The sequence below is a fragment of the Homo sapiens genome, chromosome 22 (assembly GCF_000001405.40).
Source record: "Homo sapiens chromosome 22, GRCh38.p14 Primary Assembly".
In the NCBI taxonomy this organism is placed as follows: domain Eukaryota; kingdom Metazoa; phylum Chordata; class Mammalia; order Primates; family Hominidae; genus Homo; species Homo sapiens.
Genome location: NC_000022.11, coordinates 36,900,081 through 36,912,731, shown reverse-complemented (window position 1 = coordinate 36,912,731; position 12,651 = coordinate 36,900,081). Strand labels below are relative to the sequence as shown.

General features: G+C 46.0%; 6 annotated features.

Moving 5' to 3' along the window:
• Positions 570 to 1,271: an enhancer, noted in NCBI's record as "OCT4-NANOG-H3K27ac-H3K4me1 hESC enhancer chr22:37307503-37308204 (GRCh37/hg19 assembly coordinates)". NCBI's record gives its function as "activates a minimal SCP1, AML or CMV promoter by ChIP-STARR-seq in naive H9 embryonic stem cells {active_cell/tissue: H9 hESC(naive)}" and the evidence as "EXISTENCE:reporter gene assay evidence [ECO:0000049][PMID:30033119]".
• Positions 10,746 to 11,311: an enhancer, noted in NCBI's record as "H3K27ac hESC enhancer chr22:37297463-37298028 (GRCh37/hg19 assembly coordinates)". NCBI's record gives its function as "activates a minimal SCP1, AML or CMV promoter by ChIP-STARR-seq in primed H9 embryonic stem cells {active_cell/tissue: H9 hESC(primed)}" and the evidence as "EXISTENCE:reporter gene assay evidence [ECO:0000049][PMID:30033119]".
• Positions 10,746 to 11,368: a biological region, named in NCBI's record as "H3K27ac hESC enhancer GRCh37_chr22:37297463-37298028".
• Positions 11,109 to 11,228: an enhancer, noted in NCBI's record as "active region_18941". NCBI's record gives its function as "activates an Ori minimal core promoter by ATAC-STARR-seq in GM12878 lymphoblastoid cells {active_cell/tissue: GM12878}" and the evidence as "EXISTENCE:reporter gene assay evidence [ECO:0000049][PMID:35858748]".
• Positions 11,249 to 11,368: an enhancer, noted in NCBI's record as "active region_18940". NCBI's record gives its function as "activates an Ori minimal core promoter by ATAC-STARR-seq in GM12878 lymphoblastoid cells {active_cell/tissue: GM12878}" and the evidence as "EXISTENCE:reporter gene assay evidence [ECO:0000049][PMID:35858748]".
• Positions 11,312 to 11,877: an enhancer, noted in NCBI's record as "OCT4-NANOG-H3K27ac-H3K4me1 hESC enhancer chr22:37296897-37297462 (GRCh37/hg19 assembly coordinates)". NCBI's record gives its function as "activates a minimal SCP1, AML or CMV promoter by ChIP-STARR-seq in naive and primed H9 embryonic stem cells {active_cell/tissue: H9 hESC(naive and primed)}" and the evidence as "EXISTENCE:reporter gene assay evidence [ECO:0000049][PMID:30033119]".

The following is a 12,651-nucleotide window of genomic DNA, read 5'->3' as shown; positions in this document are numbered from 1 at the left end:
TGCAGAAACTATTCACGGTGAACCAAATATGAAAAGTTTGAATAAAGACAAGATGAATCACAGTGCCAAGACACAACAAAACGCAGTCATATTTCTCCTACATGGGGCTGCCTCCCAGGAGAAAGGGCAGCAGGCAGGAATGAGGGGAATGGAGGGCAAGAATGAGGGGAATGGAGGAAATGGAGGGGCAGGAACCTGCCTCGAAGCCACTGGAATTCTGGCCTGATTGTTGTTCTTTGCTTTCCTCCTACCAGGAAGGGCAGGGTTGGCCAGGAAGAGCTGGCAGGGCCTCACCCTAGCAGAGAAAGCCCAGGGTAGAGGAAGGCATGTGTGGTTCTCTCAGGCACTCCGGTCAGTGTGAGGTCCCTGCCTGGCATGGAAAAACCCTGCAGGGGCTTCTCCAGGGCTGGAGAGGATGGAATTAAAGTGACGTCCCGGGCTCTCTTTTCTCCCAGGTGTCCCCACTCTGCCTGTCTTTGCTGAGGTCCTCTGTGGGACTGGGAGGCTGCGGGCCTGGATGCCCTCAGGAGCACAGAGGATGCTGTCTGGTGGAGAAACGAAGAACCCGAGACTCTGAGTCAAAATCACTCCGGACACCAGACCCAAAATGTGAAGGAGCTTTAGGAACACCTCAGCCAATTCACTTGACTGACCCTTTCCTTTTAAAAGTCATCATAGAGCAGCAGGGGATAAAAATCTACATTTGAATGAGTCTAACAGAGTTCTCTCAATAAGTATTAAAAGTTCTAAGCGAGAAGAATCACACCGTCAGGAATTCATTGAATGTTTTCGTTTGTTTGTTTGTTTTTTCCTTCAGTGGTATGTAAAATACCGTGTCTTGCAATTGACGATCTTTTAGAGACTAAGAAACCCAAGAAAATGTTGGCAAGAACGTAGTACTCATAATGACCAGGGCTTGAGCATTTACGCTGTGAGCAGACCTTCGGCTGGGGGCTTCTCCATCTCTTCCCAATAACCTTTATGTAGCTGTTACTGTCTTCACCTTACAGATGAAGAAATTGAGGCATGAAAAGGAAGATAACTTGTTGAAAGTAGTAACTCGTATATGTTAACATTGCATTTTTTTCCATTTCCATTTTTATTCTGAAACTATTTCAAAATACAGAGCGTTAAAGGAATGATACAAAGAACTCTCACATACCCTTCATGTGGAAACCCCCTTTGAGTTTCGCTAAGCTTCTCAATAATGGTTTTGTAACAAGAAAATCCATCCGGGACTTTGCATTCTCTCTAAATGCATGGCTCTTAGTTGCCATGTCTTTCGGGCCTCCAGTTTGAAACAGATGCCTTGTTTTTTCCTCGACATCTCGAAGACTGCAGGTTGGTTGTTTTGAATAATGTCCCTCGATTTGGCTCTGTCTGATGATTAGAACTGGGTTATGCTTTTTTGGCCAAAATAGCACAGAAGTGATGCTGGATTATTCTTGGTGAGTCCTATTAGCTTTCATTGTCAATCTGTCCCATCACTAATGTCGTTCGCTCTGATCATTTGATTAACTTGACACCAATCAAGTTTCTCTATTGTAAAGTTACTTCCCCTTCCACATCGTAATTTATAAGCATTTGGTAGGGAGATACTTTTAAGCTTTCTCATCCCACTCCCACACTTGTATAATTTCAGTATGCAATGATGTTCCTTAATTTAATTAAACATTATCATGATGATCATTGCCAAATGGTGACTTTTAAAAATTCTGTCATTCAGAAGTCCTAGCCAGAGCAATCTAACAAGAGAAAGAAATAAAAGACATCCAAATAGGAAAAGAAGAAGTCAAACTTTCTCTCTTCCTTGATGATATGATTTTATACCTAGAAAACCCTAAAGACTCCACCAAAAGTCCCCGGGAACTGATGAACAACTTCTATAAAGTTGGAAACAAAATCAATGTGCACAAATCAGTAGTATTTCTGTGCACCAATAAAGTTCAAGCTGAGAGCCAAATCAAGAATGCAATCCCATTTGCAATAGTCACACACACACACACACAAATAAAATACTTAGGAATGCAGCTAAGCAAGGTCATAAAAGATCTCTACAAGGAGAACCACAAAGCACTGGTAAAAGACATCATAGATGACACAAACAATTGGAAAAACATTCCATGCTCATGGATTGGAAGAATCAGTATCATTACAATGGCCATACACCCAAAGCATTCCACAAACTCAATGCTATTCCTGTCAAACTACCACTGTCATTTTTCACAGAATTAGAAAAAACTATTCTAAAATTCATATGGAACCAAAAAAAAGCTCGAATAGCCAAAACAATCCTGAGCCAAAAGAACAAAGCCTGAGGCATCACATTACACAAATTAAAACTATACTAAGGCTACAATAATCGAAGCAGCATAGCACTGGTATAAAAACAGACACATAGACCAATGGAACACAGAAATAAAGCTGAATACCCGCAGCCATCTGATCTTCAACAAAGCTGACAGAAATAAGCAATGGGGGAAGCACTCCCTATTCAATAAATGGTGATACGATAGCTGGCCAGCCATACACAAAAGAATGAAACTGGACCCTTACCTTTCACCATATACAAAAATTAACTCAAGATGGATTAAAAGTTTAAATGTAGGACCTCAAATTATAAGAATCCTAGAAGAAAACCTAGGAAGCACCACTCTAGACATCATTCTTGGGGAAAAATTTATGACTAAGTTCTTAAAAGCAATTGCAATATAAACAAAAATTGACAAGTGGGTCCTAAGTAAACTAAAAAGCTTCTGCACAGCAAAGGACACTATCAACAGAGTAAACAGACAACCTACAGAATGGGAGAAAATATTCGCACACTGCATGCAGCAAGGGTCTAATATTCAGAATCTGTACAGAACTTAGGCAATTCAGCAAGCAAAAAATAAAATAAAATAAAATAACCCCAATAAAAAGTGGGCAAAAGAAATGAACAGACACTTCTCCAAAGAAGACATACAAGCAGCCAACAGATATGAAAAATGCTCAATATCACTAATCATCAGAGAGATGCAAATCAAAACCACAATGAGATGCTATCTCACATCAGTTGGAATGACTATTATTAAAAAGTCATAAAACAATAGACGCTGGTGAGGCAGCAGAGAAAAGCAAATGCTTATATGCTATTGATAGGAATGTAAATTAGTTCAGCCATTGTGGAAAGCAGTTTGGAGATTTCTTAAAAAACTTAAAGCAGAACAACCATTTGACCCAGCAATCCCATTACTGAGTATATATCCAAAAAGACACCTGTGCTCGTATGTTCATTGCGGCACTATTCACAATAGCAAAGACATGGAATCAACCTGGTTGCCCGTTAACAGTGGACTGGATAAAGGAAATGCGGTATATATACACCCACGGAATACTACACAGCCATAAAAAGAATGAAATATGTCCTTTGCAGCAGCATAGATGCAGCTGGAAGCCATTATCCTAAGCAAATTAATGCAGGAACAGAAAACCAAATACTGTATATTTTCACTTATAAGTGGGAGCTAAACATTGGGTGCTAATGGGCATAAAGATGGCAACAATAGACACAGGGAACTACTTAGAGGGGTGAGGCAGAGAGGCAAGGATTGAAGAACTAACTACCCGGGTACTACACTTACCATGTGGTTTGGGATATGAATTATCATTTTTCACAGAATTAGAAAAAACTATTCTAAAATGCTAAAGTATTATGAGATAACAAAGGGGCACGTACACCCCCTGAGTCTAAAATAAAAGTTGCTATTGTTAAATAAATAAATAAATAAAATGTCACCATTCCTTTTGTATTTAATAGTTGGCATTCTACCTAAGGAAGAGTTTGTTTTCCTTCTTGTGTTCTTTGTTAACTTATATAATCAGTGTGGACTCACGGATTTCTATTTTATTAAATGGCTTACAGTCAGTACCTACCATGATTTATTTTAATGCTCAAATCATGCCAACTTTGGCCAGTGACAGCTCCTTCAAATGGGCTCCTGTGTCCTTTTCAATGATCCCCATCGTTCTTTAAGACCTCCCTGACTTTCAGGCAGCATGAAATGCTCATCTCCTCTCCTATTTACCTTGCCCTGGGCTCGGACTTGGGAATTTTCTCCAAGGGGCTTGGGTTCCTCATAGTAGAGAATGGTATTTAGAGCCAAGATACACACACAAGGTGATCTTGCTCCCTGCTGCCCAAGTGTCACTGTCCTCAGGTCTCTCACTGGACAGAGCCAGAGAATGAATGAACAAATGCGTATATTGTACTTACAGCTATATTTTTTTTCTTTTTTTGAGACGGAGTATTGCTCTTGTTGCCCAGGCTGGAGTTCAATGGCACGATCTCGGCTCATTGCAACTTCTGCCTCCCAGGTTCAAGCCATTCTCCTGCCTCAGCCTCCCAAGTAGCTGGGATTACAGGCATGCACCACCACGCCCGGCTAATTTTTTTTTTTTTTTTTTTTGTAGAGACGGGGTTTCACCATGTTGGTCAGGCTGGTCTTGAACTCCTGACTTCAAGTGATCCACCTGCCTCGGCCTCCCAAAGTGCTGGGATTACAGGCTTGAGCCACCACGTCCGACCAGCTGTATTTATTTCTATACCTATCATTTTGAAAACCATGAGTTCACACTTATACTGCCAGTTCCAATCCAACACCACAGGGTTCTTTCTAGCTTTCTCTCTGTCTATATCTGTACCTCCCTTCTTATCTGTGTGAAACTACACTATTGTTGTCAGTGTATTTACATAGCTTCTCCCCTCCTCCTGCCCCACTGAATATAGCCCACTTCCATGCTGGGTTGGGTCCTGCCCTGTACTGACACCCTCTGTTATGAGGTTGGCTTGTGTCTCCCAAAAAGATATGCAGAAGTTCTAATCCCCAGTATGTCAGAATATGACCTTATTTGGAAATAGGGTCTTTACAGAAGTAATCAAGCTAAAATGAGGTCTTATGGGTGGGCCATAATCCAATATGACCGATGTCCTTATAAAATGGGGAAAGTGTGGACACGGAGACAGACAGCCCTAGAGATAAAACAACTGAAGACACACAGGAAGAAGAAAGTCATGTGACTGGAGGGATCCCACAAGTTAAGGATCACCAGGGATTGCCAGCAGCCACCAGAAGCTGGAAGAAGGCAGGAAGCATTCTCCCTGGAGACATCAGAGAGTATGGCGGTGCCAGCACCTTGACTTTGGACTTCTAGCCTCCAGAACAGTGAGAAAAGACATGGTTGTTATTCTAGCCACCCAGTTTCTGTTATGACAGCCCTAGGAAATTGACACACCCTCCTTGTTTGAGTCCTGGCTGCCCTTGGACTGCCTTCTGGCCCTTAGCAGACCTGCCCAGTGACTTTGACCGAAAAGGAAGAAAAAGAGAGAGGGAGTCTGGGATCAGAATATTAATACAGACCCATCTGCATCCAAAGGCTGTGTTCCTAACTCTTCTTTTTATAGGCTAATAGGCGAGACCAAAATAAGCCTATTAGCAAGCCGATCTTAGTAAGCTCTCAAGCAGGTGTTGGTGCACTCTGGTCTACACACCAAACATAGACTGCAGCCTCTTTTAGCTCAGCCCATGAGCTAAAAATGTTTTCTTTTTTAATTTTTAATGTTTTTAAAAATAGCAAAATAAGAATAATATTTTGTGATGTGGAAATTACATGAAATTCAAATATCAGTGTCCATAAATAGTTTTTTTTTTTTTTTTGAGACAGTCTCGCTCTGTCACCCTGGCTGGAGTGCAATGGCATGATCTCAGCTCACTGCAACCTCCGCCTCCGGGGTTTAAGTGATTCTCATGCCTCAGCCTCCCGAAGTCACTGTTGATGCTGCTAGAAGGGCCAGAGAGAGCCCAGGCTGGACAGGCAAAACCTGGCCTCGCCAGACTTCCAGAGCCTGCACAGAGTGTGTAGCTGAGAAGTCCGGATTCTGGTGCCAGACCGACTGCCTAGTGAGAAGCCTGGCACCACCGGGTCAGGTTAGTGCACTTTTTTTTTGTTTGTTTTTTGTTTTTGAGACAGAGTTTTGCTCTTGTCCCCCAAGCCGGATTGCAATGGTGCGATCTTGGCTCACTGCAACCTCTGCCTTTTGGGTTCAAGCGATTCTCGTGCCTCAGCCTCCCGAGTAGCTGGGATTGCAGGCACCTGCCACCATGCCCAGCTAATTTTTGTATTTTTAGTAGAGATGGGGTTTCACCATGTTGACCAGGCTGGTCTTGAACTCCTGACTGCAAGTGATCTGCCCGCCTTGGCCTCCCAAAGTGCTTGGGTTACAGGCATGAGCTATCGCACCCGGCCCATAAAGTTTTATTGGAACACAGCTACACTCATTCATTTTTGTTCTCTGTGGCTGCACAATGTTTTTGTGCTGCAGTGACAAAGTGAAGTCATTAAAGCAGATACTTTACGTCTGGCAAGGCCATATTTACTATCTGGTCCCTTACAGAAAAAGTTTGCCAGCCCTGTTCTAGCGTAGGCATTCAAACAGCATCCTATTGGAGTATGGGGAAAAGAGAGATGACTCAGTAAGGGAGGCATGGGAAGACTTCTAGGGGCAGTGACATGGGCACTGTGAAGGATATGAGATTTTGACATTTGTGGCCGGGTGTGGTGGCTCACGCCTGTAATCCCAACACTTTGGGAGGCCAAGGTGGGCGGATCACGAGGTCAGGAGATCGAGACCATCCTGGCTAACACGGTGAAACCCCATCTCTACTAAAAAAAATACAAAAAAAAATTAGCCGGGCATGGTGGCAGGCGACTGTAGTCCCAACTACTCCGGAGGCTGAGGCAGGAGAATGGCATGAACCCGGGAGTCAGAGCTTGCAGTGAGCCAAGATCGCACCACTGCACTCCAGCCTGGGCAACAGAGCAAGACTCCGTCTCAAAAAAAAAAAAAAAAAAAGATTTTGACATTTGTTAATGTATTCATCCTTTCAAAGAGCACTGAACACCTACTATATGCCAGGCAATGAAATATGGAGATGACATCATCGAATTTACAACTTAGAGAGGGCATGCTTCTACTCTGAGTTGGATGTCCTCTCTGTCCTATGCAGCAGAAGGAGAACCCCCCACTCAGAGCAGAAGCACGTGGAAGCCAGAGACTTATCTCTGAGGGGGTCAGAGGAGGATCCACAGAGGAGGCACCCCTAGAGCTGGACCTTGGAATCTGTGGAGGTTCTTGTCAGGCAGAGCAAAAGGTGTATCTGGCAGCCTTCTTGGAGGTGGCGGCTTTTGCCCTCCTTGAGATCTACTGTCTGACCTGGCTAACTGTGTAACTGTGAGAACACCATGCAGTCAAGGGAACCTCCAGTAGGACTGGCCCAAGACCCACTTCCAGGCTCACAGGTAGCAAGTGGCATCCCAAGGTCACAGCCACTCAGGGGCTGAGCTGAGGCCAGCGCTACCTCTTATGGCCTCAGTGAGGAATCCAGGAGCAAATGTGGGGTCCAAGCTTTCTACTCTTTCTTCGCCCTGTGCTCCAGCTTCTGGGACTTTGGGAATAAAGATGACCAAGGGAGGCTCAACATTGCCCCACATGCACAGGAAACTTGGTGAGATCCTGCCTCTGCCCTCCCCTGTTCCTCTGCAGAAACCCTAGTTGAGCATCTTCCATGTTCTGTTGTAGCTGCTTATGCTTCTGTCTCTCTCACTAGCCTGACAGCCAATCAGGAGCAGGGATTATATCGTTTATTTTTGATCTCTAATGTTGAGGAATTGTAGATGCTCAATTAATGTTTATTGAATGGACTAGGATATAGTTGAATTGAAGGGAGCAGACAGGAGGCGATTAGATCAAGTAGGAAAGACACTAAAAGGTGATTTCAGTAGGACATGTGTGGCCTCCCTACATCAATCTCAAAAGTTCCAGATTTTTCCAATAGTGCTTTTTGGGGTAAGTTCTAAATTCCCTCTATGGGTCTTACCTGGGAATTTATCTACCATCATATATATTTTTTTCAATGTTACCATATCTAAGTGGAGTTCCTTCTTTGTTCTTGAGCAACGGCAACTACCAAAACCTCAATTTATTATCTCCCTAGTGCAGCCAGCCCCGGTCCTGAAGGTCCTTCCATAAACAAGTTACACTCAGGCCCTCGTGCCCTCTTACCATCCCACCTGCTGTCAGACTGCATTTGTGATCATTTTGCTGTCCCTCCTGCAACCCCCTAGTCAGACCTTAATTAAATCTCCAAGAGCTTCCCACCAGAAGGTCCTGCCTCATACCCCTCTTAGCTCCTGCCCTTCCTCACAGGGCTGCCATGTTTGCACAACTCCAGGGGGCGCCATTCCCATTGTGTTCTATGGGATTGTAAATGGTTTCTCCTGAGTTGTACGGCACAATGACCCTGAATGGTCACCAGAGTGATGTGTTGCTCCCTTGCTCAAAAAACCCCACTTGAGGTCAGGAGGTCGAGACCAGCCTGGCCATCATGGTGAAACCCCCTCTTTACTAAAAATACAAAATTAGCTGGGCTTGGTGCTGCACACCTTTGTAATCCCAGATATTCCGGAGGCTGAGGCAGGAGAATCGTTTGAACCCGGGAGGTGGAGGTGGCAGTGAACCGAGATCGCACCACTGCACTCCAACTTGGGCAACAGAGTGAGACTCTGTCTCAAAAAACAAACAAACAAACAAACAAACCCATCACCCAGGGAATTCCCAATACCCAGGGCCTTGACTCTAAGCCCTTAGAGTTATTTAAGACACTCCAGAAACCTACCTTCCAGCCGTACGTAGCTTCACCCTTCCCAGCTTCCTTGAACCAGGTCATTTTCCCCAAGCCTGCTCTGAAACTCATCTCTCCTAAGACCTTGCGTCACGAATTCCCGTTTCTCTCTTCTATGTTTTCAAACCAAGTTGTTTTTCCCTCAGCCGTAAATAATCAGGCTGCACCCAGCTCTAAAAGCAGAAACCTTTTTTTTTTTTTTGGCCCCAGGCTCCTTCCCAAACCCCGTCCTTCTCCCCATTCTGTCATTCACTTCATTCTACTAACCCTTCTAAACACCTACTGGGAGCCAAGCCCTTGCTCTGGGCACTTAGGACATAGTGGTGACCAGAAAAAATGAGGCCTTTGAGACTGTTATAGTCTTGCAGGGGAGATACACAATCCACAATGAACATACTACATTAGTAAAGAATACAAGGCAAATGACACTTTGGAAGGTGAGTGTCAGTGCAATGGAACAAAGAAGTGGAGCCATTAGGGGACTAGATGGGTGATGGGAGGGCAGATTCCAACATTAACTGGGATTGTCAGGGTACACCTGCTCAGGCAGAGGATGTACTCAGCGTTCCTAAAGGGCCCAGCTGCACTCACTGTCAGCATTTCTTTCCTCTCACTTATTCCCCAACCCAGTGAAACCTGCTCCGCAAACGCTGCTTTGTCCACAGGGACCTTCCTTTTGCCCAGTTCTAGAGCTACCTCCTATTCTGTTGCAGCAGAATTTGGCATTGTGGAGCCTTCACTTCTGGACACCTGTTTGTGCCTTGGCCTCCAGGACACAACACTTGCCTGTTTTCTTCCCTTTCTCTAGTGCAGGGGTGTCCAATCTTTTGGCTTCCCTGGGCCACATTGGAAAAAGAAGAATTGTCTTGGGCCACACATAAAATACACTAACACTAACGATAGCCAATGAACAAAAAAAAAAATCGCAAAAAAACTCATAATGTTTTTATGAATTTGTGTAGGGCTGCATTTAAAGTCATCCTGTGCTGCAGGTGGCCCACAGGCCAAGGGTTGGACAAACTCATTCTGTTGGATCTTTGGCACTCTCTGTTGTCATTTCCTTTCTTTGCCCATCCCTCAAGTGGTGGTGTTTCCAAGACCCCATACATGCTCTCGGCTCATCTCAAGCTGTGTCTCCCATAGAGAATTTCATCCACACACTCACTCTGAAACTCACATCTCTGTTTCTCACTGTAGCCCCTGGATACATCAACAGTCTCCTTTCTGTTTATGAAAGGCAAAGATCTTGCCCTCCTGCCACTGACTTCCTCTATATAATGAAATCTCAGGAACTGGGAAGGGGTGGGGTTCCTGGCAGAGCTGGTAGAAGGCAGTGGAGGGTAGAAGGCAGGGCGTAGGAGAGAGAACAAGTTCGTCTGCCTGCCCCTGGCTCCTGCTTCCCATATTCCCCTCCAGGTGGCTGAGCTAACGGGGAACAGACATGACAATATGGACGTGCAACCACGTGACTTAGTACAAATACCAATTTGGCCAGTCAATGGAGGAGCAATGAAGCAGCTGGATCCCAGATGTCACTCAGGCACAAGGTTCTGGTTGATCGTAGAAAACACCATTTCTTTTCATTGAACCACACTGACTTTCCACATAGCCACATGTTCCCATGTAGGAACCCATATTAACAATCACCAGACTCCCAAGGAAACAAGCCACCATGGGCGAGAGTCAGCAGAAACAACCAACAATAGATATAGACCTCCAAGGAACAAAGATCTTGGAAAAAATCAAATCTTGGATATAAAATACAAGGATATAAACCTTCAAGAACCAAAGAACTTGGAAAAATCAGATCTTGGATATAAAATACCTTCCTGTCCCCTGTCCCAAGAAGGTGGAACTTGATTAGTTGAAGCTACTCACAGTAATTTTCTTCTTTCCTGTGATTGGCTTACGAAGGATCATGTGATCTCAACCTGGCCAATGAGACAAAGGAAGATGTTGTTTCTACCTCTGGGCATCGCCCTTTGCATGTGATACCTGGAGTCCCCTCGGCCATCATCACTCCAATTCTGAACTGTCAGAGCGCAAAGAGGGGAAGCACCTGGGTTCTTGATGAGGTTGAGACCCTACACGTCCCTGCATGGTACTATTGTGTCTCCAGACTCTGTGTCTGAGCAATGACAAACCCCCTGTTCCTTGGCTACTTTCAGTGGTTTTTCAGTTGCTTGCAGCTGACAGCACTCTGCTGTACTCGCTAATATGCTGTGTATTCTGTTCCCCTTCGTGAAGGCCTTCTTTGTCTGCTTCACCTCTCTGTCATCCCTGCACCATCTCAGTGACTTTGTCCTGAACCTTTAGCTCTTCCAAAGCCAGAAAAGTGCCCAACACACATCTCACCAGCAGGAGCAACCTGAGCCGAAAGCAGGGAGCCCAAACCTCTGCTTCCCGACACCATGTTCTGGTTTTCAGGGGCAGGCCAAGGTGGTAAAGCAGATACCAGGAACCGAACTGTGTGGTTTGGAGTCATGAGGAAGATAAGAGCCATCAGCGTCTGATCTACCGCAGAGGCAGATACAGCAACTGCTCTCGAGTGAGAAGTTGCAGGAAAACCCCTTCATAAGAAACAATGCTCCCTTCTTAGAGATGGGGCTCTTTCTCAAGATCTCCAGGTAGGAGGCTTCAGGGCTGAGGGACTTCAGGCCATTACTGTTGGCAGGTAGAAGCTGCCCAAAGAGAGGGGTGTCCCCCCCGCAGGCTGATTACAGTGATGGGAAAAGCAGGGTTGTTCTGAGGGGCTGGCTGTCAACAGGGAGCTGGGCCCCAGGTGCAAAGGTAGGAGGGGAACAGGGATTGGGAAGGGCAAGGCAGTCTCCACCTTGAGCTTTCTAGGCCATGGGAAGGAATGTAGGAATTCAGCTGTCAGATGTTAAGTGGGCCCCTGCTGTCGGAAACAAAGCTGGCACCAGAATGAGAACGGAGAATTACGAGAATTACAGAGCACTGGGAAACAGCAAGTTTCCTCCTGCAAGTCCCTCTTGAGTCAGGTCAGGGCAGGTCCCAGGGGATAGATCTGAGCCAGTCTGGGGGTCAGGAGCACCAGGGGGCAGGAACCAGGCAGGTTTTCCCTGAGAACGCTGTTCTTTCTGTGGGGTTGGAGGCTCTGCCCTAGGTGAGAATGCAGGGCTCTGTGGGAGGCATCCCGGGAGGGACCTGGACAGACAGACCCTGTGAGTGTGGCTTGGGCACAAAGTTGCATCTGAACGAGGACACTCTAAGGGCAGTGGTGCCAGTGGAAGAGCCAGGAGACGTGAGTGTAGTGTACTGGGCCCAGAGAGGGCAGGCTGGGCTGGGGCCCTGTACAGCCCTGGGAGCTGGCAGAGAAATGGGAGGGACGCACATGATGCCTGTTCCTGTCCTGGGGATCCCCACCTCACTGCCACTGGCAGGGACCTGTCCAGGATACATGGATTGTTCAGACTCTGTCCCTACTTTCAAACACATGTCCCCTGTGGTCACCCTGAGACCCTGCTTCTCTCTAGACTATGGTTTTATCCAGACTGTTTGTTGCATCACTTGATTCCTTCAAGTTGATAGTTTCCTTAGTGATAGTTTGATAGTATGACAGAGGAAGTGGTAAGTATGTGTCCCGGGGTGACTGGCATGGGGGTGGGGAGCTAACTGGACACATAGGGCCACTCACACCAGATAGACTTATTTGGCAGGGCAGGGAGGAGTTGAGGTTTGGTGGGGTGGCAGATGAGGAGAGCTGACTGGATTCAGACGGTGTGGGATTGTCAACCCTGGATCCAGGGCCATCAAGGTCCCTCTCATCTGGGAGCTGCCCCAGGGACTTGACCCTCAACCGCTCCTTCCATCCAGCCCAGCCCATGGGGCAGCCTACAGTGCAGCTGGCCCTCCTATGGGTGCCAAAAATTCCCCACATTGCCTGCCTCTTCTCAAGGGCCCTGCCCCT